This window comes from Homo sapiens, chromosome 13 (genome assembly GCF_000001405.40).
Source record: "Homo sapiens chromosome 13, GRCh38.p14 Primary Assembly".
In the NCBI taxonomy this organism is placed as follows: Eukaryota; Metazoa; Chordata; class Mammalia; order Primates; family Hominidae; genus Homo; species Homo sapiens.
This window is the reverse complement of record NC_000013.11, coordinates 81,968,616-81,995,230: the sequence shown is the minus strand read 5'-3', so window position 1 is coordinate 81,995,230 and position 26,615 is coordinate 81,968,616. Positions and strand designations below refer to the sequence as shown.

At 33.8% G+C, this 26,615-nt stretch overlaps 3 annotated features.

Moving 5' to 3' along the window:
* Positions 6,853 to 7,423: an enhancer, noted in NCBI's record as "OCT4-NANOG hESC enhancer chr13:82561943-82562513 (GRCh37/hg19 assembly coordinates)". NCBI's record gives its function as "activates a minimal SCP1, AML or CMV promoter by ChIP-STARR-seq in naive and primed H9 embryonic stem cells {active_cell/tissue: H9 hESC(naive and primed)}" and the evidence as "EXISTENCE:reporter gene assay evidence [ECO:0000049][PMID:30033119]".
* Positions 7,424 to 7,995: an enhancer, noted in NCBI's record as "OCT4-NANOG hESC enhancer chr13:82561371-82561942 (GRCh37/hg19 assembly coordinates)". NCBI's record gives its function as "activates a minimal SCP1, AML or CMV promoter by ChIP-STARR-seq in naive H9 embryonic stem cells {active_cell/tissue: H9 hESC(naive)}" and the evidence as "EXISTENCE:reporter gene assay evidence [ECO:0000049][PMID:30033119]".
* Positions 8,569 to 9,103: an enhancer, noted in NCBI's record as "OCT4-NANOG-H3K27ac hESC enhancer chr13:82560263-82560797 (GRCh37/hg19 assembly coordinates)". NCBI's record gives its function as "activates a minimal SCP1, AML or CMV promoter by ChIP-STARR-seq in naive H9 embryonic stem cells {active_cell/tissue: H9 hESC(naive)}" and the evidence as "EXISTENCE:reporter gene assay evidence [ECO:0000049][PMID:30033119]".

Genomic DNA, 26,615 nt, shown 5'->3' with positions numbered 1-26,615 from the left:
TCTTAGAAAGAAATTCAAAATTGTAATTAGAGGTATTTAAAAATAATAACAATATACTTTACATAGTAAAAATGTCCATTAGACAAATTTGGATACACAAGTTTGTTTATAAAGAAAGAAATTAATGAAAATAGTGGAATTAACTATTAATTCAAGAACTGAACAAAGGTAACTAACGAGCTCAAGGTAGACTATCAAATTACACCTCACAAACTAAAAGATTTTTTTTTAAGGCACACAATCCACTACTGGAAAATCTAATAAAGAAAAAAAGTCAGGAAAAAAAAGTCACATTCACAACATCAGAAATGAGAAGATGAATATAAAAATGGATAGAGCATCAATTCCAGTAAATATGAGAGAAATAGCCACATGTTCTGTGCTAATAAATTTGAAAATCTGGATGGAAGGGGCACTTTCTCAGGAAAATGCGAATTAGAGATTACCATGCAAGAGAGAATAGAACACCTGCATAACAAAACAAAACAAAACAAAAAAGCAGCATTGAGACTATTAAGGGAGTTTAATAGAAAATATCAAAAATGTTACCTAAGATAATTTAATGAGCTCATGAAAGTATGAGGTATTGATAGATTAATCTAAATTTGGCATTGTGATTTATTAATAGGGTGTACACAAAATGATTACAAGCAAATGTGTAATTTCATCCTGAGATCAGTATGAGTGATTGCTTTGTTAACTTTACTTCACTAGTTTGTTGTTGTAATTGTTTTTCTATATATTTGTTGTTTATTTGTTTATGGGCTGTTACTAATGTTGTGTGTGTAGAATATCTAAAAGAATTCTCCCAAACCAAGCAAAGATATCCAATCCCATTTACTCAAACATAAAGTTATCATGCCAGATTTACATTGTATTAATTCTTAATTCTTTTTAAGGAAGACATAGGGAAATTTCTGGAAAATAATAGACTGGGTAACTTATTTACACTTCAGAAAGTTTCTTATAAGATTAGAATAAAACTTATCTCCTTTTAAGCTTTTTATCTTTTTGATTTTTCTCATCTAACTTTATATAATCAGTCTCAAGGCCAACACTATCAAGATTCAGAATAAGTAGTGCGAAAGATACTGATTTCTGGATTGTTTACAATACCAATATTAAAATAAGATATTTTTACAAAAGAATTTTTTCTTAGCAAGTATTACATGAATGTTCTCTAGTATTTTTCTCTTATATACCTGTCACTGTATCATGAACAAGTATCCATAGAAACACACAAATTTCCGTTCATAATTCTTTGAGGTTAGAAATAAATTATTATATATTTTCTATTAATGATTACGTATTATTATATAATTTAGCATTATGCTTGCTAGATGTAAAGCTTAAAATATATGCTATTTAAATAATGTCTCCAAAAAGGGGCATTAAACCATACCAAATCCTTATTTTGGGAAGTTAGATCTAGTTTGGAAAATATACATTATTTGAAGAAAAAAACCTGAGAGCTCTATAAATAAGTAAGTTGAAATAAGAATATTTTTACAGATTGAGCTTTTTGCATTATTGAAAGTAATTTCATCATTCTCACTCTATATTTGCCTCTTGCTCCAAAGTAATACTTCTTTGAGGAAATATTTACAAGTCAGCATAAAGTATTTTATTCTTTAGAACAAATGTACCAAGTTACCTAAGTCCATTTCAGACATTAAAAACAAAATTAACTGCATTTATCATAGGCCAACCCACAATCGGGGAGCTGGATCCAAATATCTGTTATTTACGTAATGCATCAGTCCAGAAACCGACAATTTTGCTTGCAGTTTACTAGTTTCTACCTAGTAAGAGAAAAATAGAATAGAAAGAGGAGATAGAGAAGAAAGAGAAACAATAAAGAAGAAATAGAGGAGTATATTCCATGGCCTGTACTTCATCTGCATCAATTGCCCATATTGAAAATGTTTGTAGTATTTGATACCTAATCTATGTTTCTTTGCACATTCCATGTCTCAGCTGGTACTGTTTTCATATTATTGAAATATACACTAAGTGTCATTAATTATCACCATTAACTCAGCGATTATCCATAGCCAGCCACAACTTTCTTTTTACTGGGCAATTACAATAGCCCCTTAATCATTCTCCCAGCTTCTAATACTTCTCCTATTGTCCATTCTCTATATAAAAATCATAGCAAGCATTGCTGTATTTTTTAAATATTCCAAATGGTTATTTTTCCTGTTTCAGGAAATTTGCGCCTCAGAATTTTACACTTCCTATTGTCTCTATTTTGCCCCTCTTCCCCCCTCATATGTGATTGTATTTGTTTTTACTCTCATCTGGCTCAAATGTCATCTAATTCTAGAAGATTTTTTTTCTGGCCACCCTAAATTATTATCTTTTCATTCTCTCAGAAAACAATATTTTAGATTACTGAGAACATATATCATTATTAGAAATTATTTTATTCTACTTTGTCACAAATTAAATATAAATTTACTATGAGAAATAAGTGCTTTATATATAATTATAATGAATCATTTTGAATATCTGAATTAGTGATTAAATGGATAAATGCATTTATTTACCCAATAATATTCATACAATATAAACAAATAAGAAAAAGATTTAAACAATTGTAAACAAGCTTTGATGATAAACTATTTTCCCTTAGTTTGGAAAGATACACAAATAAAAATCAAACATACAAAAACTTATCGAACAGATTTAGAAATAAAAAACGCATATCTCATAAGGAATGTTTGAATTGCCCTAGGTTAGATCATAACAGTAAGAAAAAAAATGTCAAACATTATTTGGATTTTTATTATTTCATCCAGTAATCGTGGCAGACCAATTAAGTGTAGTATTTGGCCTCCAAGCATTGTATTTACTCATTTGTTCACTCATCCATCTGTTCATCTATCAGTTTATTCATTCAATATTTACTCAATGTTATCACATTCTAAGTTCTATACTTAAGAGAATGCAATTTCAGAAGAAGCAAACAATGTGATAGAGCTTATGGAACATAAACAGTAATTCAATGAATGTATAATTTGATAATAATTTTATTGCAGAATTACATTCAATAAACATTAGTATAGTTTGAATGTTTATCTCCTGCAAATCTTATGTTGAAATGTGATCCCCAATATCGGAGGTAGGGCCTGGTAGAAGGTGTTTGGGGGCAGATCCCTCATGAATGACTTGGTGCCCTCCCTGTGGTAGTGAGTAAGTTCTTTCTCTGAGTTCACATGAGATCTGCTTGTTTAAAGAGTCTGGAACCTCACTCCACATTGATCTCTGTCTTACCATGTGACACTGCCTGCGCTCCCTTTGCTTTCTGCCAAGACTGTAAGCTTTCTGAAGACTCGGCAGAAGCAGATGCTGGTGCCATGCTTTGTGTACAGCTTGCAGAATGATGAGAAAGACTGCAATGAGGAGTCTTCACTGGGGCTGCCTGATTTTAAAATGTCTGCAAAGCAACCCAAATGTCAAAGACGTAATCTAAATGTATATAAGAAGCAACAAAGAACAGAATAATCAGTATAGAAAGGCATATAAACAATGATTTAAAAGAAAATTCAGAAACTCTGTCACAGCATGCATGGGAACCAACTTCATTATAGAATATTATTTAGAGGAACACCTTCTGATCTGAATGAAGTCATGCTTCACAGAGTAATATGTAAATGTACTTTTAAAGTTCCCTGTCTCAATTATCTGGATAGAAGCACTATCTTCCTAAAATAATAGGAAACTTTTGAAGTAGATGTTGAAGATTTCTTATCACACTTGTGTCCTCTATAGTAATTACTATACTTGCCTGGGTAAATAATGAAAGTCACCAGATGTGTTGTGAAAGTTAGCAGTTTAGAATCAACTCTCTTGTAAAATAAATATGAAATACTTGAGTTTTTATTAAACCGTACTTGTTTATTTAAGCTTATTGTTGTTGAATGTATTTATTGCAAAAGTAAAGTGCTAGCAATGAATGGAATAAAATGTGTGTATTTGTTTAAAAGTGTTTTATTTATACTGTGCACTAAATTTCTGCTACTTGAATGAACTTTGAAGAACAGGAGCACAGGCATCAGCTGGGAGCTATCTTTTCCATCAAGTTCTCAGGTGATGTCCATGTTGTTGGTCTGTGTACCACACTTTAGCCAGGTTTGAATGAATGATATACCCACTTTCTATATAGGCTAATCTGATAGCTTGCTCGGAGTTTTACTGCAGTATTGTTCGCTCCCAATTTTCTTATACTTTTGTCAAATATGCCCAACTTCTGGTTCCAACTAGCAGACACTTGTTGTGGCTCAAATGGCACCAAGGAGAGATCGACCTATTATTCTAAAGGAAGCAAGCCATTAGCTTTGGTGACTTCCAGGTGGGATTAAGTCTGCAGGTACTCAGAATGGCTTTCCATTGTGGCTTTTCATACCCCAAGGCTTAGGCGATGTACATGACAAAACTGGTTGTTTCACCAAGCGGCCAGCAGAGACAGCAGCATGGATCATTTATTACATCACGCTCTAAGATCAGAAGTGGTGAAGGGCTGACTGTGCCTGCTCTGTCCAAGTGAATTTATTTTTATCAGATAACCCCCTACATACTCTTTCTGAAAGGGAGATACTGGTTTCTTCACATCATAATGGGTCTGAAAAGGACAGAGTTTAGTTGCAGTATTCTTTCAGATTTAATTTCTTAAGTATGTGAGAGATGTGTTCACAGTTTAAGTCTCTTACAAATTACTACATTAGACACTGGTAGAATCCAGAAAAAACAAATTTGAAGACTAACAGATCATTAGGTTGGTGCAAAAATAATTGCGGCTTTTCCAATTAAAAGTAATTTTAGTCTTAAAATTTGTTTTTTCTAATATATCATGTCTTATTTTAAAATTTTTATTATTTTTATTTTTTATTTTATAGAGACAGAGTCTCACTATGTTGCCCAGGCTAGTATTGAACTTCAGAGCTCAAAGAATACTCCCACCTTGACCTCTCAAATTGCTAGGATTACAGACATGAGCCACTGCACTAAAATTCTTATTAATAGTGTACTTTGTTGAAACTTTTTAAAATGTAGGAGAAATGTTACATCAGATATGATACTGGGCACATATGAAAGCTGGAAAATACAGTCACTCTGTAAATACATGATTTTGAAGAAAACAAAAATTACTAAATCCCCACATGAAAATACCATATTTGATCACCCCAGACTAAGTGGAATTATCAAAAACCAGAAACAAGAGACAGATTACCTGAAATTAAGTCATAACAGGCCTCAACAGGACCCATAGAAAAAGGAAGACAGTGGAAGATTATCTTCAAATTTCTGAGAAAAAAAAATGTCAACCGACTATTATTTATTTGCTTCTGCTAATCTTCAACAGTAATAGCAAAATAGACATTGCATGCAAACAAAAGTGATAGACTACTATTAGCATGCCTTCACTAAAAAACCCAGGTAATGAATTTTCCAAGAAGAAAAAATATGAACTTTAAAAGATTGTACTGAATTGGTAATGGCAAATTTGTAAACATAAAAATTTTTTTCACAAAATGACATCAAAAATGTCTGCAAGATCAGTGTTATGTGAATAAGTAGTGGAATTTATAGAGCTGAGAAGCCCTGATTTTGTTCTTTTTTTCTAAAAATTATTTTGCAATCTATGTTAGAAGAAATAGACACAGTATTGTCTAGTTTTGCAAAGCAAGTAGACAATTTAAATTGTGAATAAATACATTTGTAAAAGCTGTTTTACCATTTCTAAAAGCTAGAATAGAGTTTGACACGCATTGACTAAATGGCTAGGCAAAAGCAAATATATGAATTTCTTGGATATGAGAGAAAAGTGGCTGAATAGGAGTTTGGAATAAAAAAGGAAATACTAAAATGTGTGTTAGTATGGCTATGATTTTAATGAATTCTTATTTATTGTAAATTGACTAAATGATAACAGTTACATAGACCAACATCCATTCTCCTTCTTTAGAAAAGTACTGAAGTACTGAAGTATTTTAGGGAAAGATTTCCAGACAAAACCGTGGTAAAGGCCTGATTTATTGGGCAAAATATTTTCCTAAGAGTAATGGCTAAAAATGTGAGCCATGATTCAATTAATTCTGAGGAGAAAAGAGGAAGATATTTGTAGAAGTCTCTGGAAATCAAAGGTTTTTTTTTAATTGGATTGTATTTGTATTCATGTTGTATTTTGGAGGAATATAGAAGTCACTTTTTTTGCTCCTTTGTGGCACTGATTGAGCAAAGATATAGAAGCGATTTTCAGGTATTTTGTGAAAGAGAACAAACCTTAGAATGATACTAATGCTAGAAAATGCAAAACAAAAAGTTGACACCGAGTTGCTGACCCAAATATACGTTGAAGCTAATATACTTCTAGAATTCAGTTTATATTAGCCAAATAATAATCTTTCTTGTTTAAGCCTGTTTGACTTGGCTTTGGGCCCTATTTGGTTGTATGCTTGTGATTTCCTTCAATGCAGTGCACATGAGACAGTTGAGTGGCACAGCCAGGAATCCGAGTAACCAAAGCTTTAGGAAACTTCTTACAGAGATATTGAAGTTACTTTAGATATGTGCAGAAGAAACTAATGTAGTGATGTGGGTGGTACAGATGAGAAAGAAACACAACATTTTGAAAAAATAAATTACTTAATTCCAAAGGCCCTTCTAAAATGTTAGTGTCTATGAAATGAGTAGATTCTAGATTTGGGGCTTTTTCTTTTTTTAATCACTGTTCTTTTCATCCTGGGTTTAGCCCCCATGAATTAAGAAAATTTGCCATAAACCTACCTTACAAGAGATATATATTTGCTACTAATTTCTGGAATTTCAGGTGTAGACAGTGTTATATATGTATAATATATGGTGAGTACAGACTTGTTGCCTCTGGTACATTATAAAAGAGACAGCACTGTTCACTAAATATTCCTTTTGTTCTCTTATTATTTTTCTATTCTTATAATTACTTGTTTCCATTGTCAACACAACATTTGCACCAGACAAAGTTAAACATGCCAGGAAGGCTTTATTTACAGTACAGGAGAGAAGTCAGAACTCAATCTGAGCATAAGTGCTCAGAGGAGAGTTTTTAAGAAGGAAGTGGGAGGATTTTAGGCCATTTGTGTTTGCTAATTAACTTTACTCAAAGGAAAAGTAAACTTTCTTGTATTTTCATGACAGCAGGCAAATTTACAACATGCAGTAGAGGGAGGTGTTCATCTAAATTAGGCATCTAACCTCACACGTAGATTAGGAGATAGGATCACTCTTTTCCTTGATATTTACATTTCAAAAGGATGGCTCCCAGATCCTTGGGAAAAAATCATTTTGGGTTGTAAAAGTGGCTGTGAAAAAGATTTACATCTCAAAGGGCAGACAAATAATTTACAATCGCAAATTCCCTAAAGTAAATGCTCTTAGGAAAGGGAGGTCGGAGGGGGGCCTAGATGGGAGGGAAGGGGAAAAAATCCTTTCTGATGTTCTGTGGGTTTGATGAGGTGTTTAAGACTGTTTTATTGATCATCTAAACAGTAGTAACCAACAAAACATGAAAAAGCCACCATCTAATCTTCTGTAATTCTCTTTTGGCTTCTACTGTAGCTAAGCCTTCTAGGTCATGAATCTTTAATAGCTTTGGATTTCGAGTAATAATGTAGAGTGTAGCTCAACCAAGGACCTGAGTTGGACATGAAGAACAAATAAAATATGTGTTTATTTTAAGCCACTAATACTTTTGGTTTCTTTGATACTAAGCATTATCTGGCATTGCCTGCCTAATACAGGTCTTGCTTTCAGTAGAATGCCACCTCAATTAAGTGATTGTGTGACACAGCTTCTCCTTAGGGAGTGGAGGATACAATCAGGAAAAGCTGTAGATGTCACTCTTGAGCAGTAGTGGAATGGTTGGCAACAACATATCTGTGAAATATCTTGTGAGGCAGATTGCATGTCCAATTATTTTGTAGCTGTAGGGAAAGAGATCAAAAAACAAAGTTTGTGTTTTGGGGTTTTATTGACTAAATTTTATCAAGCATTACCAGAAAGATGAGTGAAGAAAGGGATTGCTGAACAGCAGAAATAAAATGAAGTAAACACATTCTGTAACTTTGGGCCTTGATGCGATGAAGCTCAAACAGTAAAAGCTATAATTGAGAGGCAACACTCTATCAAAACTCAGCATTTTGTCCAAGACAAAAATGAGAGTGTACCTTTCCCATTTATTGCTAAAAATTCTCAGAAGCTTCAAATGCCTCAGGGCAAAGATCAGATTACTCTCATAGAGAACAGTTAAATCATAAAACCAAATTAATTTATTTAGAGAATTTCAGGCTATAGCTTTTCCCCAGAAGCCAAAGAATTTGTGTTATCAACTTCAAATTTGAAGACAGAGTGAAAGATCGGGGGATAAGAAATTACATATAGAAAAAAAATAGATATGAAAGGAAAATAAAATATCGGGACCCCAAACTTACTATGCCAAAAGGAACAGTTAAGCTTGGAGGCTGAGGCTTGCAGAAAACTGCCTTTCCTTTTGTTCCTAAATACACAGCTACAAGATAGAAGGCTACGTATCTCCCCAGATAGCTTCCCTCACCCTGACAATGTAAAACTAACAGCTTATCTTCATGAGGCAAGAGGAGACTAGGAATCCTCCCTCCACCACCTGTAGAGGAATATATATTTGTCATCTTCCTCTGCTCTGTATTTATCTTATGTAAAGTGCAGATTTACTAAGCATGACATGAATAAGTACTTGATTGTTCTTTTACCCCCTCCTTTTCACATGCAACATGTGGATTCAGTGAGTGCTAATCAAAACCTCAAAGGAATGTAATGACCTGTCTCATTTGTCTACCTCCTCCCACCTTTTTTTTCTTTCCTCCTTCCCTTCCTGCCTGCCTTCCCCCTTTAAATATTGAAGTGCTCAAAACTCTTTCTGGAAAAAGTGTGGGCCACAGATTATGCTTGGCTTGTAACTCTTTTTTTTTTTTTTTTTTTTTTTCCCTGATTAACCTGAACAGCTGGTTGTAAAGAGCTAAGTTTTTTAGCGACCACTGAGGACTCATTGAGTGGGTGGTGATGGGTAGGGGGCTTCTCTCATGGGCACCGTAACAATATATTGCCAACCACTGCGGCCAACACCATTTTCATGAGCCCCTATAAAGTTGGTCATTATATGATGGGATTGGAAAGAGGCATGGGGAATGCACCAAGAACGTGTGGATAACCTGTCACTAAGTGGGAACAGTTTAAAGACCAAGAGCATCTCCCTGACCTTTGAAAGTATTGTCTTCATTTTTTTTGTAAGATACTAAAGCTCTTTTTTTATTTTTATGTTTTATTATACTCCAAGTTCTAGGGTACATGTGCACAACGTGCAGGTTTGTTACATAGGTATCCATATGCCATGTTGGTGTGCTGCACCCATTAACTCATCATTTACATTAGGTGTTTCTCCTAATGCTATCACTCCCCCTGCCCGCCACCCCATGACAGACCCTGGGGTGTGATGTTCCCCACCCTGTGTCCAAGTGTTCTCATTGTTCAGTTCCCACCTATGAGTGAGAATATGTGGTGTTTGGTTTTCTGTCCTTGTGATAGTTTGCTCAGAATGATGGTTTCCAGCTGCATCCATGTCTCTACAAAGGACATGAACTCATCCTTTTTATGGCTGCATAGTATTCCATGGTGTATATGTGCCACATTTTCCTAATCCAGTCTATCATTGATGGACATTTGGGTTGATTCATCAAAAAGTGGGCAAAGGATATGAACAGACCCTTTTCAAAAGACATTTATGCAGCCAACACACATATGAAAAAATGCTCATCATCACTGGTCATCAGAGAAATGCAAATCAAAACTACAATGAGATACCATCTCACACCAGTTAGAATGGCGATCATTAAAAAGTCAGGAACAACAGGTGCTGGAGAGGATGTGGAAAAGTAGGAATGCTTTTACACTGTTGGTAGGACTGTAAACTAGTTAAAACACTGTGGAAGACAGTGTGGTGATTCCTCAAGGATCTAGAACTAGAAATACCATAAGATCCAGCGATCCCATTACTGGGGATATACCCAAAGGATTATAAATCATGCTACTATAAAGACACACACACATATATTTATTGTGGCACTATTCACAATGGCTTGTAACTCTTTATCCCTAGTGCATTCACAACCAAAATAAGCCTCCAAACTGATTGACAACTCTCTCAGGAACTTTTTCAGTTTACACTATATCTATACATACAAACTATATAAGAACTCTGTGTATAAATATTTACTAGCATATAGAATAGGCTGGCATCAAATAAATAAAAATGTTTACTTTTTTTTGAAATAGTTAAGCTGCTAAAACAAATTCAAATCTGAAATAATAATATCGAGAGACAGGACTAGCTGGATTTCCTAGGCCAACTAAGAATCCCTAAGCCTAGCTGGGAAGGTGACCACATCCACCTTTAAACACGGGGCTTGCAAGTTATCTCACACCTGACCAATCAGGTAGTAAAGAGACCTCACTAAAATGCTAATTAGGCAAAAACAGGAGGTAAAGAAATAGCCAATCATCTATTGCCTGAGAGCACAGTGGGAGAGACAATGATCAGGATATAAACCCAGGCATTCAAGCTAGCAACAGCTACCCTCTTTGGGTCCCCTCCCTTTGTATGGGAGCTCTGTTTCCACTCTATTAAATCTTGCAACTGCACTCTCTTCTGGTCCATGTTTGTTACGGCTCAAGCTGAGCTTTCACTCGCCATCCACCACTGCTGTTTGCTACTGTCACAGACCTGCCGCTGACTTCCATCCCTCCAGATCCGGCAGGGTGTCCACTGTGCTCCTGATCCAGCAAGGCGCCCACTGCCACTCCCAATCGGGCTAAAGGCTTGCCATTGTTCCTGCACGGCTAAGTGCCCGGGTTCATCCTAATCGAGCTGAACACTAGTCATTGGGTTCCACGGTTCTCTTCTGTGACCTATGGCTTCTAATAGAGCTATAACACTCACTGCATGGGCCAAGATTCCATTCCTTGGAATCCGTGAGGCCAAGAACCCCAAGTCAGAGAACAGGAGGCTTGCCACCATCTTGGAAGCGGCCTGCCTCCATCTTGGAAGCTCTGGGAGCAAGGACCCCCTGGTAACAATATTAATTATAATAGTAATAATGCCATTAAAAGTAATGGCAAAACTGCAATTACTTTTGCACCAACCTAATGGTAAAGAAATAAATAGCTGTTACTACTGTAGACTTTGCCCCTTCCCCACAAATCCTTTAATTGAAATGAGTTTAGAAAGGTAAACAAGTCTAAAATAGGCAGATTCCTTCAAGCAAAGCCAAATTAAAAAAAAAAGGAATACAGTAGTTTCCCTTTATCCCCAGTTTTGTTTTTTTGTGATTTCAATTGCCCATAGGCAACTGTGGTTCAAAAATATTAAATGAAAAATTCCAGAAATAAACAATTCATAAGTTTGAATTTGTATCCCATTCAGAGCAGTGTGATAAAATCTCACACCACCCCACTTTATCTCACCTGAAATGTAAATCATTCCTTTCTCTAGTGTATTCACACTGTCTCAGTAGCCATCTGGTTATCAGATGGAATATTCTAGTATAACAACACTTGTGGTCAAGTAACCCTTATTTTATGTAATAAGGGTCTCAAAGTACAAGAGTAGTGATGCTGGCAATTCAGATATGCCAAAAAGAAGTCATAAAGTGCTTCCTTGAAGTGAAAAATGGAAAGATCTTAACAATAAAAAAGACAAAAAAAAATTGTATACTGAAGTTGCTAATATCCATGGTAAGAATGAATCCTATACCTGTAAAATTATGAAGAAGGAAAAACATATTCATTCATGGAATATATAGCATTTAGTACTATTTGTGATGTTAGGCATCTTTGGAAGCCTTAGAACTAACCTCTTGTGGATAAGAGGGAATGACTGTAAGGGAAAGAAGAATCTCTCTGAGTGGAGGACGAGGACAATAGAATGCAATGCACTGTGGCACAAGACCTGTACATCAGAATCAGAGCCTAATCAATGAATACCCACCAACACTATGATCTGTGCTGCTCACAATGCCTATCTAGGATTGCAGAAAAGCTGTAGTCAAAGGACTGTTGATAATCTTTCATATCTCCCTTTCTGATCACGAGACTTCAGCGCAGATATCCAGTCTTTATTTCACTATGTAATATCGGGAATTTGTAGAGGGAAGATAACTTGTCCTTTAGTGCAAAGTTTTTCAGGTTAATAAGAGCCACAGCCAGACTTGTCACTGAAATCACTCATAGCACCCAGAGATTCTATGATTTGAGCTGGATGTAGTGAACGAATGAATTTTTAGGTTGTTTTCCTGAGGCATGACTGAGTGTGTATTATATGTTGTAAGAAAGAAAAAAGGACACAAACAAACACAAAGAGGTGTTTGGCAACAAAAACATAAAGCAAAATTATTGCTCACCCAATAATTCATTTGCCATTGTATATTAATTAGTCCTTTTCCATTTGAGTGTGGTCATAAGACAATTACTGCCAGTAAAATACAATGCTAGAGATTGTATGCTACTCTACAGTTTTATTGGCTCCTAACACAGTGTGTTGTGAAGTCACGTATTGAGATGCTGTTGTTATAATGAATTAGATTCTTCTTCCATCTGAGCCCCTGGGTCACTTCATGGAATAAAGGACCCTCTCAACCACAGGCATATTTCCTAAACTGTACATGCATTTTGAGGGAGAAACTAATGCTTAAGTCTCAAAGAGTTTGGGGATGAGTTTTATCTGGACTAATACATACTTGAGTCATTGAGAAGAAACAAACTGAAAGACAATTACTATTTTATGTTCCTATTCTGTTTTGAAACCAGTCCTTTTCTTTCAAGCATGGACAACTGTAACCATGTACCCCATTTTCCTAAGGAAAAAAAAATAGAATTATTTTCATCTTTTTCCTTTTCTCCATTCCTACTTAACTCTTTAGAAATGCAGTTATAACCTTTACCTCTCTTCACCAGACACTGTGAATTGCAAGCTTATATAACTATGTGTGTGCTTTGAAGTTCCAGGGACCAAACCTTGAAAGAAACCAGGTGTCTCTGGAACTTTCTCCCACAAGATTACTTTGAGTAGTTTACAACCTAACTCTGCCCCAGAAGGTGCCAGCCAGACTGCCTAATAGATAAGAAACTGAAGTGAATCATGAAGACCCCACACTTCCTTACCCCATTCCCTGCATGCCATTCACACCAAGTCCCACTACCTCCTTTTAAGAGGCAAAATCTCCCTGTGTTGCCCAAGCTGGTCTCAAACTCCTGGGCTCAAGCAATCCTCCTGCCTTGGCCTCCCAAAGTGCTAGGATTATAGAACCACCATGCCCAGGCCCAAGACCCTTTTATAAACCGTTGCCTTCTCCCTAGAAATTAGAAGTGATTGCTTTGAATGGGAATCTAGACATTTCTTGATTACTAGGTTTGGTTGATAAAGTCACTCTCTCTCTACCAGACCTTGCTCTTGTTAATTGGACTCTGCAAGTGGTGAGTGGCCAGACCTGAGTTTGGTTACACATGGACAATCAGTGTAGAAGAGCCAGTATCTGAAATCTAATACTAGTATCTGAAAACCATCCAAGATTTAGCAGGGACTGTGAACTAATTAAAATTGTGCATTTGCTTGAGAATGAGAACTACTATCAGAATGATGTCGAGATATGAAAAATGATGGTTGGTGTCTGTTAACTTAAATATCATCGCTTTAGCTAATATGTATATTTCACTGAAAACTGTGGATTATAAATTAACATAAAACACCCTAATAATTTGAAAAATATTGAAAGATAAGGCACTTGAAAAAATCCCATAACCCTAGAAAATATAAATATTTCTACACATTCCCTGCAGTCTTGTTTATAATTTTGTTTTATAAATAATGGTTGTTTTTTATATTTTCATTTTAATAAAATATTTATGCCTATCAGAGTATGTGTATACAATCTTCTATGAAGTATAATGCAATTACATAAATATTATAGTTGTGGTAGGCAAAAGGGTAGCATCCAAATGTTCAGCAATATATACAAGTGTATGCTGAATATCACTAGACTAGAAACAGACCATGTGATTCATATTAATTACTTCGTCATCAAAGTTGAGCACCACAAATTTGTGTGATTATTATAACATATTAAAGTGCTTCCAAAAGACTAAACCTATTCATGTTAGTTATTTATGATGGCACAACTTTTTTAGTTGCGTTATTTGTAAACATCATATTGATATTCACCATAATGTCTCAGCAAGTCCTAATAATGTAAAATTAAATTCTACTTTTTGCTTCCCTATCTGTCTCTATTTGTGTCTTCCTCATTGTCACCTTTTTCCTTTCTTCCTTCTTTCTTTTCTTCCTTCTTTCCACGTTTCCTTTCTTCTATTTCCTTTTTCCTCCCTTTTGTCTTATTTTTTCACGAATACAAACAGCTTTCTATTCTTTCTCCATATATATATAAATAAACAAATAAGATATACTTGCTGCCTTGCTAGTTACTCCTGATCCTAACCATACTCTAATCCTGAATAATATAATAGTAGTCTCTATAAGAAGAAAAGGCCAGACATATTTTTTTTAATGTAACACTCTTAACTATAACAAAGTTCATTAGGGTTTTCTGTTTTATTTTGTTTTGATTTTTCCCTTTGTTGTCTTATCTAGGGTTTCTTCTAAAACAAGGTTTGGGTTCGCAAAGCTTATTCGGGGAAGCAATCACATGTATCAGAAGTGGAGGACTGGGAAGCATGATACAGGCAGGTAGGGTTGGGGGAGCTCTCTATGGGTGAGCTACTACAATTATGGTTACAGTTCTCACTTACCAGGACCCAAGCTTGAGGAGGAACTCCTTAAAAGTTGTAGAGAAAGTGTTCCAGAAGAGTCCACTGAATAATTCTGGTTCTCATCCTCCATCAGTCAAGAATCATTTCTGAGAGTCACAGCACACTCCCATAATATTTACGCATAAAGGCAAAATATATTTAAATATATTTTCTATTAATATTCTTAATGAACTCACGAGAAAATTTTAAATCATGTATATGGCTATGATATAAAATTTTAGCAAGATGAATAGTGTTTTAAGTTAGATAGATTATAGTCAGTTAAAACTTTATTTTTACAAAATATTTCAGAAATATTCCACCTGAAGATGTAAGAGAAATCAGTGCAACATTCCTTTCTTCAATGATTCAAGTGCTTTACTAAAATGACCACAGATTTTTTTTTTCAGAGAGGGAAGCATTTGGAAATCAATTTAAATAAACCTGCTCACAACTTTTAATTGACATATTTATTGGCTTGCAGTTTCACTGCTGATACAGCAAACCAAAATAGACCAGATCATAGATTCAGTGTAAGTCACTCTTATCTCACATTAGCTTAACTAATTCTGTTTGGTTTAATATCAAAATTAGAAACATATAATTGTAATTTTTAATGTTGCATAATAATTAGAATTAGAAGACCAATTGGAGAATTACATTTATTGCATTTTGCCATTCATTAAATAATTCAAACACAGTATGTGTGTACATTTTCCAGGTATTTAAAACAAAGAAAATGTGGAAAAATAATTATTGGAGAAATTGATAACAAAAGGAATGTTTATCAGTTGAATGTGATTGAAAATAGTTATGAAATAGTATGTATAAAATTTATTAAAAACCATGCAATACTATAAAACTCAGCTCAAAAACTATAAGACTCGATTTTCAAATGACTACTACATAATAAGTTATAAATAATGCTCAAACTCACATTATTCACAATAACACAGATGTTTTCCACATGACACTTTCTTTATAGATCCATATGTTTTTTAAGCAGAAAATGTTAAATATCCTGGATTATGAATTTTAAATAATGCCCCCAAACCAGATAAAATTATGTTTATAAAGCAAAACTACAAAATATGGCTCTTGAAGATATTTAAGGATGAGTTTTTTTATTTTCATTTTATTTATTTATTTTTTGAGAAGGAGTCTCGCTTTTTCTCCCAGGCTGGAGTGCAGTGGCATGGTCTTGGTTCACTGCAACCTCTGCCTCCCAGGTTCAAGCAATTCTTCTGCCTCAGCCTCTTGCGTAGCTGAGACTACAGGTGCATGCCACCATGCCTGCCTAATTTTTGAATATTTGGTAGAGACAGGGTTTCACCATGTTGGCCAGGCTGGTCTTGAACTCCTGACCTCAGCCTCCCAAAGTGCTGGGATTACAGGCATGAGCCACTGCGCTTGGCCGAGGATGAGTTTTGTATGGATAAAGGACAGGGTAAAAAGTAATCATGAACACCTAATGTCCATTAAGCTGCTAGAATATTTGTGAAAAGTATTTAATAGGAAAAGAAGCTTGTTTTACATGTATTCAATATATTTTGAATAACATGTTTAACTTATGGAAATATGAAAGAGAGAAAAGTAATAGTTTTTCTTCACATAATGAACACACAGGTATTACTTCCATTTATAGAATCGTAAATTCAAATTCTATTCAAAGGTTTCTTGGAAAGATGCTACATTTAAGCTAAAGGATTTAAAAATAATAAAGAGCCAATACATTTGCATTAAATGTAGTAAAGTAAGATGCAGTTCACCAGCAGAGAGAGGACCTGGGTAGCCTAGGTAGGGGAAACACTAAAAAGTTGACACCCACAGTTACTAATATGATTTATTATCTCCTGGAAGTTTAGCTAATTCATTTTGTAAGAGATTAAAATTTCCATTATCAGCAGTTGACATAATAGTCTACCTTTAAACTTTAGATAAATCAATTGGAAAGCTATTATATCTAAAAATAAGATTCCACTTAAGAGCCAATTTACAAAGTAAAGTACAAAAATCAATATTGATGTGTTATGCACTCTTCAGATACCTGTTTAAATATTATCCTCTAGAAGAAAATTTAAACAAGTTCACACCTTCTATTTTTCCTTCTGTAAGAGTTGAAGAAGGAAGAAAGAAACATGAAGAGCAGCTTAACAGTCAGAGACAGGATTATTTTAAAGAATAAACCTGAGAGGGGCTTCTGGCCAAGTTAGTTCAGGAGCACTCTCTCTTACAGACTAAGAGTATTTAAGGGTTCAGGACAGGAGGGCTTATCACAGGCTCAGAATGTATCTGTGTCTCTTTGTCTTTCTTATCTGGGAGAGAGAGTTTTGTGTCTATATCCACACATCTTCCTACAGCTGCAGGCATAACCCCCAAGTCTGCTTTTAGCTTCCCCATCTTAGTGCACCTAAAGGGAAAAGAATGTGCTTATTTGGGTCCACTGTTTTACTGGGGCCCATTGTATGAGAATGAAGTTTGGTGGTTACCCAAGAGACTTTATTCCTCCTTCCATGCCCGAGCTGTCTTATCTGTGTTATACTGTCTGCTCTTTCAGGCTGCTTGTTGTTAGAAGAGAAGTGATTTCCCAGAAATGCATAAGGGTAGACAGGGAGCTGGAACTTCAAATGGTGATGTTTGTCCAAGATGATGGTGTTCCTGCTCTGTCACGTTCAACATTCTTTATTAGTATGACAATAGTGTAATTATGTATTTAAGGGTTTTATAAAAATTATAAATGTATTACTTCCAACAAAATTTTAAAAAAATTGAAAATGTGACTACGTTTTTTCTTAATTCACTTGGAAGAATAAATCGGTGCACATAGAAATATTTCTATAAAGGAAAGTGAGAAGGAAATATTTACATCACTATCAATTAAATGTATTGCTGCTTAAACTACTCACAATAGTCTGATAGTGGTTCGGGAACAGAAAAAAAACATAGCAAAATATGTCAGTGAGCAAATGAGTTACAAAATAATACCAGCTTTTTGCAAACTCATGGAATTCATAAACAAATGTTTATGCTTATGTTGACTATCTATGCTTAGAGGTTCCGAGAGAGACTTATTTGACTAGGGTAGAAATATGAGCTATTATATATAATTGTACAAATAGCTTGTACTAAGTCTATGGCTTCTCATATAATCATCAAATTTTGTAGTCCATTTTTTTGTGGGGGAGAGTTGGGGGAATAGTCTGAAACTCTTTTAATCTATACCAGCTTTGATTCTTCTTGCTCTTGTAAAGAAATTAAATGAAGAATAGCATATTTTTAAACATATGATTATTAATTAGTTACATAAATGGATGAACACCTTTGCTTTCACTATAAAGTTATAGGTGGCAGCTAGGGAATGATCAGAGAGCTTGAGTTTGTATGTTTAAAGATTATTTCAATCACTATAAGATTTTTTGGCTCATAATTTTTTCTAGGTTAATATTTGTTTTTTCACAATGTAGCTAAAGAGGTAGACTGAAAATTTTTGGTTTTATTCCATCATTAATAACATTATACATCTGGGCTCTAAATTTCTAAATCAGAAAAATTTTAAATAACATTGTATTAGTCTGTATTCATGCTGCTAATAAAGATATATCTGAGACTGGGTAATTTACAAAAGACAGAGGTTTATTGGACTTAGAGTTCCACATGGCTGGGGAGGCCTCACAATCATGGTGGAAGGCAAGGAGGAGCAAGGCACATCTTAAATGGATGGCAGCAGCCAAAAAGAGAGAGATCTCCTTTTTATAAAACCATCAGATCTTATGAGACTTATTCACTATCCCAAGAACAGCACGGGAAAGACTTGCCCCCATGATTGAATTACCTCCCATTCGGTGTCTCTCACAACACATGGGAATTCAAGATGAGACTTGGGTAGGAATACAGTCAAACCATATCAAATGTCATTTGAGATATTTACACTTACATAAACTAATAAAGGTTTGAAACATGTAAGATAAATATAAACTGAAAAATGTCAGTTTTTCTCACCATGAGTCATTTTATGTATTTACATCTCAAATCTTATGTCTTCATAAATATTCTTACCTTTCTGTCTTATTATGAAAGTTTTTTAATTGCCACACTCCTTTGAATTTTATCACAGCTTCAAAGAGCACCTTATTTTTATTTTTAAGCCTTTTACTTCTACTGAGGTGATTAACTGGAGACCTGTAGAATCTTGCTTTAACCAGCATTTTATTTGCAAGTTCTGATATAGATAGATAGGTAAATAGAAAAGACAGATTAAAAACAGATAGGGAAAATGCATGGATTTTATGCATTTTAAAAATTAAGCATATTTAGTGCTTCTAAAGTTTTAGTTTTAGAGCATATCTTATATTTATTTTTGAATGAGGCAATTTGTTTAAATTTTATCAAAAATATTTCTTCACTATCATCAACAATTTATAAGGGATAAATTCGTATCTTATTTCCTCTTCCTAATATAGTAATGCTTATTTTCACATTTTTTGCATTATATTTATAAACAACACATCTATATTTATACAGAATTAATCATTTCAAAGTGCAGATAATGTGGGCAGAATCAAGGATATAAGAATCCTTTTGTAGACAAAGAATAAATTCCTAACCCTCTTCCTACCACAAAAATTATGCATTTAATTCAGTAGCTATTGTGAAGGCATTTGCCTAACAATATAAAAAATAAATAAATATATAATTTTTACTTTATACCATGTATCTGTAGTATATTTATCATGTATTAAATTATAAATGTAAAAAATACCCTTAAAATTATAGTTCAAGTATATTCTAAACCTAAATGCAATTGAGGTAAAACTCAAGACTCAGAAATAAATTTTACTGCATACCATCTTTTCTTTTTGTTTGTAAAAGATAAAATGCTTCTATTTCTCAGGCTTTAGCTTTGAAAATTAAATATTCAAATAAAAAAATAACATTACTCCAATAGATGTCAGTGATAAAAATCATGAAAACAGTTTCTGAAAAGCTTCATAACACATCGAGACGGTTCTTTCCCCCTGTCCAATTCTGACCTAATTCTCAGCTTTTCTTTTTAAGTGCATCGTGACTTAATTGTTTTCAAGTTGCCTCTCAAGCTTTTTTTCCAGCAGAAGCCCCCCAGGAACCTTCTAGGGGTCTAAAAGGTTTTAGGGGACATTTTACTCCCCAAGGTCAGCCGAATGAGACCTCCTTTTCTTTAGGGTATGACAGTCCTTTTCTGGACCTGTCAGCAACTACATACCATCTTTACATTCTGTATATATCATTTGTCACAAATAGAAAAAACAATTAACCAATGATCAAGGGTAAACAAACTATGGCTTGCAAGTCAAATCCAGCCTATAAACTAAGGGTTTGTTTATGCAATGCCCATAATCAAAGAATGGTTTTTATTTGTATATTTTATTTAAAATATATGGAAAAGAGGGAGCATAACTCTTCACTCCTTAACTGTGAGCTATGTATAGAGACTACCTCTAAACAAAATAGTACAGAAAGAAGTTGAAGGGGGAAAGATTAACTTCGTAATGGAGAAACCTGACAAATACTACTTCAGCCAGGTGATCAAGGTCAACATCAACAATTATGAATCCTGTTGATAATAATGTGTATCCTGAATATGATATAATAAAAATGGCACTTTACCTCTTTGATCTTTCACCCTAAAACCCAAATCTCCACTCTAATCATGAGAAAAAAATTAGACAAATTCCACTAGAGGGGCATATTCCCAAATACCTCAATGCTTTCAAAGTGAGAAAAACAAAGGAAGTCTGAGAAGTCATCCTGAATAAATTGAAATATCCAGTAACACCGCATAGAACTTTCTATTTATTTGCTACTTTGGGAAAGGCTAGGGATTGTAGCAGCAAAGTGTTAGAAATGTTTACATATCCCAGGTCTCAGACCTTCTTTCAATAAAGCATTTTTATCATTTACTTTCTTTCCTTTGACACATTTTTTTCTGGCAAATATCCAAAAATTGGTTAGAAGATTAGTCTGTATCATTTATAATGAAAAAATTATTTATTTTCCAAACATTGACAAAGTTTGGCTGAAATAAATACAATAAAAGAATTAAATGGAAATAATGAAAACTAATATTTATTTACAGATTAATATATTTTCAATATCTCTGATGGGGTCATTAAGTCAAGTTTTCACAACTTTGAGGGTATTAATTACATTGATCATCAGCTAAAACTAAATTTAAAAAATATTTGTAATGGACATTTCCCAAAGTTCATCTTTTATTTAGAAAATGTTCTATGGATTTGCTACAACATACTGTAGTAATCTCAAGTACCTATTGATTTTCCACTTATGCACCATACAACTTATGACTATTATTCTCATTGCCGTTGTTTTATTTTTATACCTGCCATCTTCACTTGCTTGTAAGAATATACACATTCCGGGGTTGGGACGCTAGGCCCTGGTGATGTGGGTTTGTGAGCAGGATCTTGAATCTGTGGGTTGTGCAGTTCCATGGAAAAAGCACAGTTTCCCTGGCTGGGTAGCATGCTCACTCACCACCTCCCTTGGGTGGAGGGAGGGGGTTCCCCTGTCCTGTGTGGCTCTCAGGTGAGCCACCAGAAATAAGACATCTATCATTATATGCCTCTAAAATAACTCTTGTTATGAACTCAATTGCCATCACTTTGAGAATTATAATATTATCATATTTATCTTCTCATTTTACAAAGTTTCTTAGTAGCTTATGTCCCAAGTACAAATTTGTATATATTTTCCAGTTTCATTTACTCTTGATTTCTGTGCTGTGCTACTTAAATGTAATTTTCAAGTTGTCTTTATTCCCAACCAGAACTGTGAGAAATAAATTTCTGCTGTTCATAAATTTTCCTCAGGTATTTTGTTGTAGTGGCACAAAGACAGCAAGCAGCCTAATCAATACAATTTAGTAATTATCTATTGACTAGTTACTGTGTAAAGAGATTGTGTTATTGTAAGAAGGCACCATCTAGGTGCCTCGCATGGTGGGAGGGATAAAAAGGGCAAAAGGAGACAAACGCTGTGTCCTCATATGGCAGCCACACCTCTTAATACCACCACATGGAGTTTAAGTTTCAAGTCATGAATTTCGCAGGTTCTAAATTGTATCTTTCAGCTTCTTAGAATCCATTTTATTTACAGAGATGGGGGGAATTTAGCACATGCATTTCATTAAATTTTCTTAGTTTCTTTTGTTATATAGAAGTCTTGCTGAACTATGAATAGAGATTATTTTTTCATGTATAAGTACATTATCTCTACATTCCCCTGTTTTCCATGACATGCATTTGGAGCATTAAGCTCTCTGAAACAACTGCCACAAACTAAAATCTTAGATTAGTGAAAGCTATTTTGTCACTATAAAGCATATCTAAAAGAAATCCAGGAGAATTATAAATTATCTGCCTTATACATATATTAAAATACAGTCATTTTACTTAGACTTCTTGGGCCATATAAATGTCAAGTTAAATAATTCTGAAACTCCCAAAGTTATTTTTAACTCACTTAGTACCAGGCTGTACATAACTGGAAACTATTGGAAACAAAAAATTGAAAAACAGTTGCTTGGAGAAAAAAATGGAGAAATAACAATGTAAAATTCAAAACTATCTTCCTGTTTATATTTATTTTCCCCCTCATTTTTGATATTTCAACATTTTGATCTATTCATGCAAAATCAAGACAAATAAAATTTCATTCCCCTTCAATAAATCTTATTAAGTAAAACTGATACAGTTTCATGCAAGCTCACAGTGAAACACTTGGATATGCATTGATGGTTTGGCATTTCTGATGGAAATTTGTTTTAATAGGTCGCAATAATCCAATTTTCTTTTGACAAGTTACTGCTAAATGTCACTCAGGGATATTTTAAAATATTTTTTTTTCAACTGCAGGAATAAAATTTTAAAGTAAAAAAAAGTGAAAATATATATTATTATGTCAAAACGATTTGTCCTAAGTTTGAGAAAACTGTTGCACAGAGGGGATAAGTAACATGCTTAGTTGCATAGCTAAATAGAAATAGAAATTGAAAAATATTTTTTGATGTGACTACATTTCAACATGTATTACTTTGCAGCGAGTAAGCCATATAAAGAGGAATTTGGTAGTGGAGGTAAGCCTTTTAAATACAGAGAGGTGTTAGGGTTTAGAGAGAATTCATTTTTGTTCCTGAGTCTTATTAAGTCCTAGTATTTTATCAAATGATCCTTTGTATTTATCAATACAAGATTAAAGAAAACTATGATCCTCCAGGGAATGACCCAATGAGCAATAGCATTGAGTTTTTCTATTTAATCATTAGAAAAGTCTCTGAGTTTATTTCCTAAAGAAGTTAAAGTGTCAACATTAAAGGGTGGAGCTGAGGAATATTGCTGTAAATTGTTTTTTGAAAGATTTTAGAGAATTTCCCCAAGACCATTTAATTCCTGGTAGGCTTAGATGATATGTAAGAAGCAGAACTTTGAGCACGACACGGGGGCAGCATTTCAGACCTGAATGCCTTGGAAGTTTACAAAACTGCCTGGATAGACCATGGTGCTTTAGCCTGAGCCCCCTTACCTAAAGAGAGTAGTAGTAAATTCTCATCATCTTGAATGTTGGAATGGTCTGATGAGGTATTCCGTTTTTAGAATAGTGACTGTAGATACGTGTTTTTGATATGTTTTAAAAATGGATAAAAAGATGGTATAATTATGTGACTATAAAAGACTCTGAACAGTTAAAAATGAAGCACATAGTTGAGTTACTACAACGTAAAATACTTCAGCGTTTCCCATGACCTCCTCAGCTGTTTCAAAGGCACTATCTCTCTGTACCATCATGTCTTCCTGCCAACTTCCAAGTTGAGTTAGATCTTATACTGGTCATGGGCTATTTGTATCCAATTTATTTTCATTGGTCAAATTGTTAAACAGATTGTTGCCAGATAGCCCTGTCAAGTACTGTGGGAGAAGCCAGTTGCAGTGATTACCACAGATGCCGCTTTCTAGTGCCAAGCATTATTAGTATTTTTTTGTGTGTGTATATGTTTGTTTGTTTTTGCAATGCAATTATCATTTTATGAAGTCTGTTAAAATACATCTCCATTTTCTCCTGACAGACAGAAACCGGTCTATTCTATAAGTGCCCCACACTGCTGTCTGGAATATGAATAAGGCATTATTTCCATAATGAGATCATAGAATAGATGTTCTATCATTTATTGATCTCCTGTATCCCCTATCTTTCTTATTTATCTGTAAACAAACATTCATAATTTAAATAAAATATTGGTTTTTAGGATTTTCCCTCCTCATTTCTTTATTTTTTAAAAGGATGATATGGTATTATTTTACATCTCTTATTTATATCATTAAAGACAAAATTAGAAATTGTCCATAAATAAGGACACATTACTTATTACTAGGCATGTCAGAAACAGAATCATTGTCAAATGTGTCAGACCATGCTGTGAGTAAAACCATATCAACCAATTATCTGAAGATATTTTCTTATTAAACCTTCAAGAATACAGGATGGAAACTGTGGGGTTCAGAAATAAATCATTTTAAATGACTCTTAAAATTGATAATTAGGAAAAACATAGAAGAAAAAATACTATAAAATTTTAATCGTTATTTTATTGTATGTTACTGTAGAAAAAAATATATTTTAATTAAAATTAAGTGGCAAGGGAGTTTCATAACTTATATTAAAGGGATAAACAGATATATTGGTAAATTATGTTGTTAATTTTTAATAATGCATACTTTAACTTTCTTAAATTATTATTTTGTGGAGTTTAATAGTAATATAGAAAAGACTCTGGTTCAATTAAAATTATGCTTCTTATGTGTTCTCCCACAGATGACTTGTTTTGATAGTCTCATTTAAAAATGTTTACACTTAATTTAGCAACAATAATATCTGAACAAAATATTAGGTATTAAATATTAAATAACTGGGATTGACTCTAACACAATCTGTAAGGAAAATATAATGTCAGGATACACAATTCTCTACATAAGATATTTGTAATTAAGACTTCTGGACTAATAATAAAGGGAAGTTTTTGAGCCCAAAACAATATTATCAAAGAAGAATGTAAATTTGCAAAGCAGTCTTATCTAAAAAGAGTGCAGAAAGTAGAAAAGTTAGGTAGGATGAAATGAATATGTTGGCCATCATTTTATTAAATCTTTCTGTTAAGGAGTATACTGCAATTTATAGATTATTATGAATACACTTGACGATGAACAATATATCAAACTCAGTTATCTTTGGAAGAGAAAGTTGGTAGATGAACAAAAGATAAGACTACAGAAGTTGTGAAACCTAGATTCAATAAACTCAGTAAGATTATAATTACAATCTCTTAAACTAAATGTCTTCATCAATAAAATTGAATCATAGTATCTATTTATAAGAGAAAAGGTAACTAAATATTATCTGTAAAGTGCCACAAAATTTGTACATAATAGACAGCACAAACTTCCTATGTTAACTACTAATCCAACTCTGTGAAACTTTGATACAACAGGCAGGTGCCAGTGTCATTTATGCTTTATGACAGGAATGGAATTATCCTACATAAAAGTTATGTGAATAATAGCAGACTTTTATGAAAAAAGTACCATTTAAATTAATGCAAAAAGCATAAAAATGTAAAATAAATGCATAGCAACGCCAAATTTTGTTTAGTGTATCAGATAGTACTGATATGTAAGAAAGACATTTGAAAATCTCACCATTTTAGATGTCAGTATTACTTTAATTTTAATTATTAGTTGAAGTGTTGCTATGGTACCCCCACACTTCATATGTTTAAACTTAATAACCACTGTGATAGTAGTAACTGTATTAGGAAGTGATTATATTATAAAGGCTGAAGTATCATGAGTGAAGTTAATGACCTAAGTATATTTGTTGCTGAAACAAAATCAAGATTAATAACCTTATAAAAGAGTTGTAAGAAAACACTTCACTTCTTTTTTCCCCTTTTACCACGTGATGATGAATCAAGAAAGCACAGGTTCTTACTGGACACCAAAACTGATGGCCCCTTGACCTTGAACTTCTCCATCTTCAGAACTGTGAGAAATAATTTCACATTATCAACAAATTACCCAGTCTTTGATATTTTGTTATAGCAGCCCAAATGGACTAAGACAGATGCCATTACTGAAATTTTAAATATTGCCTAATTTTAAATACTGGTCAGTTATTTCTAGGTGATTTTCTATAATGTTGTTTAGCTTTCAGGTAAGGTTAGGCCAATTTGATAAACATGATGATATTTTCTTCGCAAAATCAATAAAAATGGGTAGATTTATGCAACAGGAAATAATCCATTCACACCTTTATTCTGATTATTTCCTCTTAAACCTCATTGAATAAATGCTAGTATTTCTTATTCCCCACTCAATACATTTCCTGTAGCTCTATTATTTGAAAAGGTGAATGTCTCTTTGTAAAACTTTCTCTAATAACTTAAATTTCCTACCTGATTTTATGGAATGGGAATTCCATATCATCGGAATCACACCAAAATGAGGGAAAACAACTAAAGAAACCCAAATTTCAAAATATTATACAATAACGTCATCAGTCTCATCACAAAAAGGCAGGAGAGTATGAAAAAGAATTACACAATTCCAGGTAAAAGACCAAAAGAAAATGACACTACCATGATAGAAGGAGGCTGAAACAGTTGGTAGAGAAGCAGATGTGGGTTAGAGCTGAGC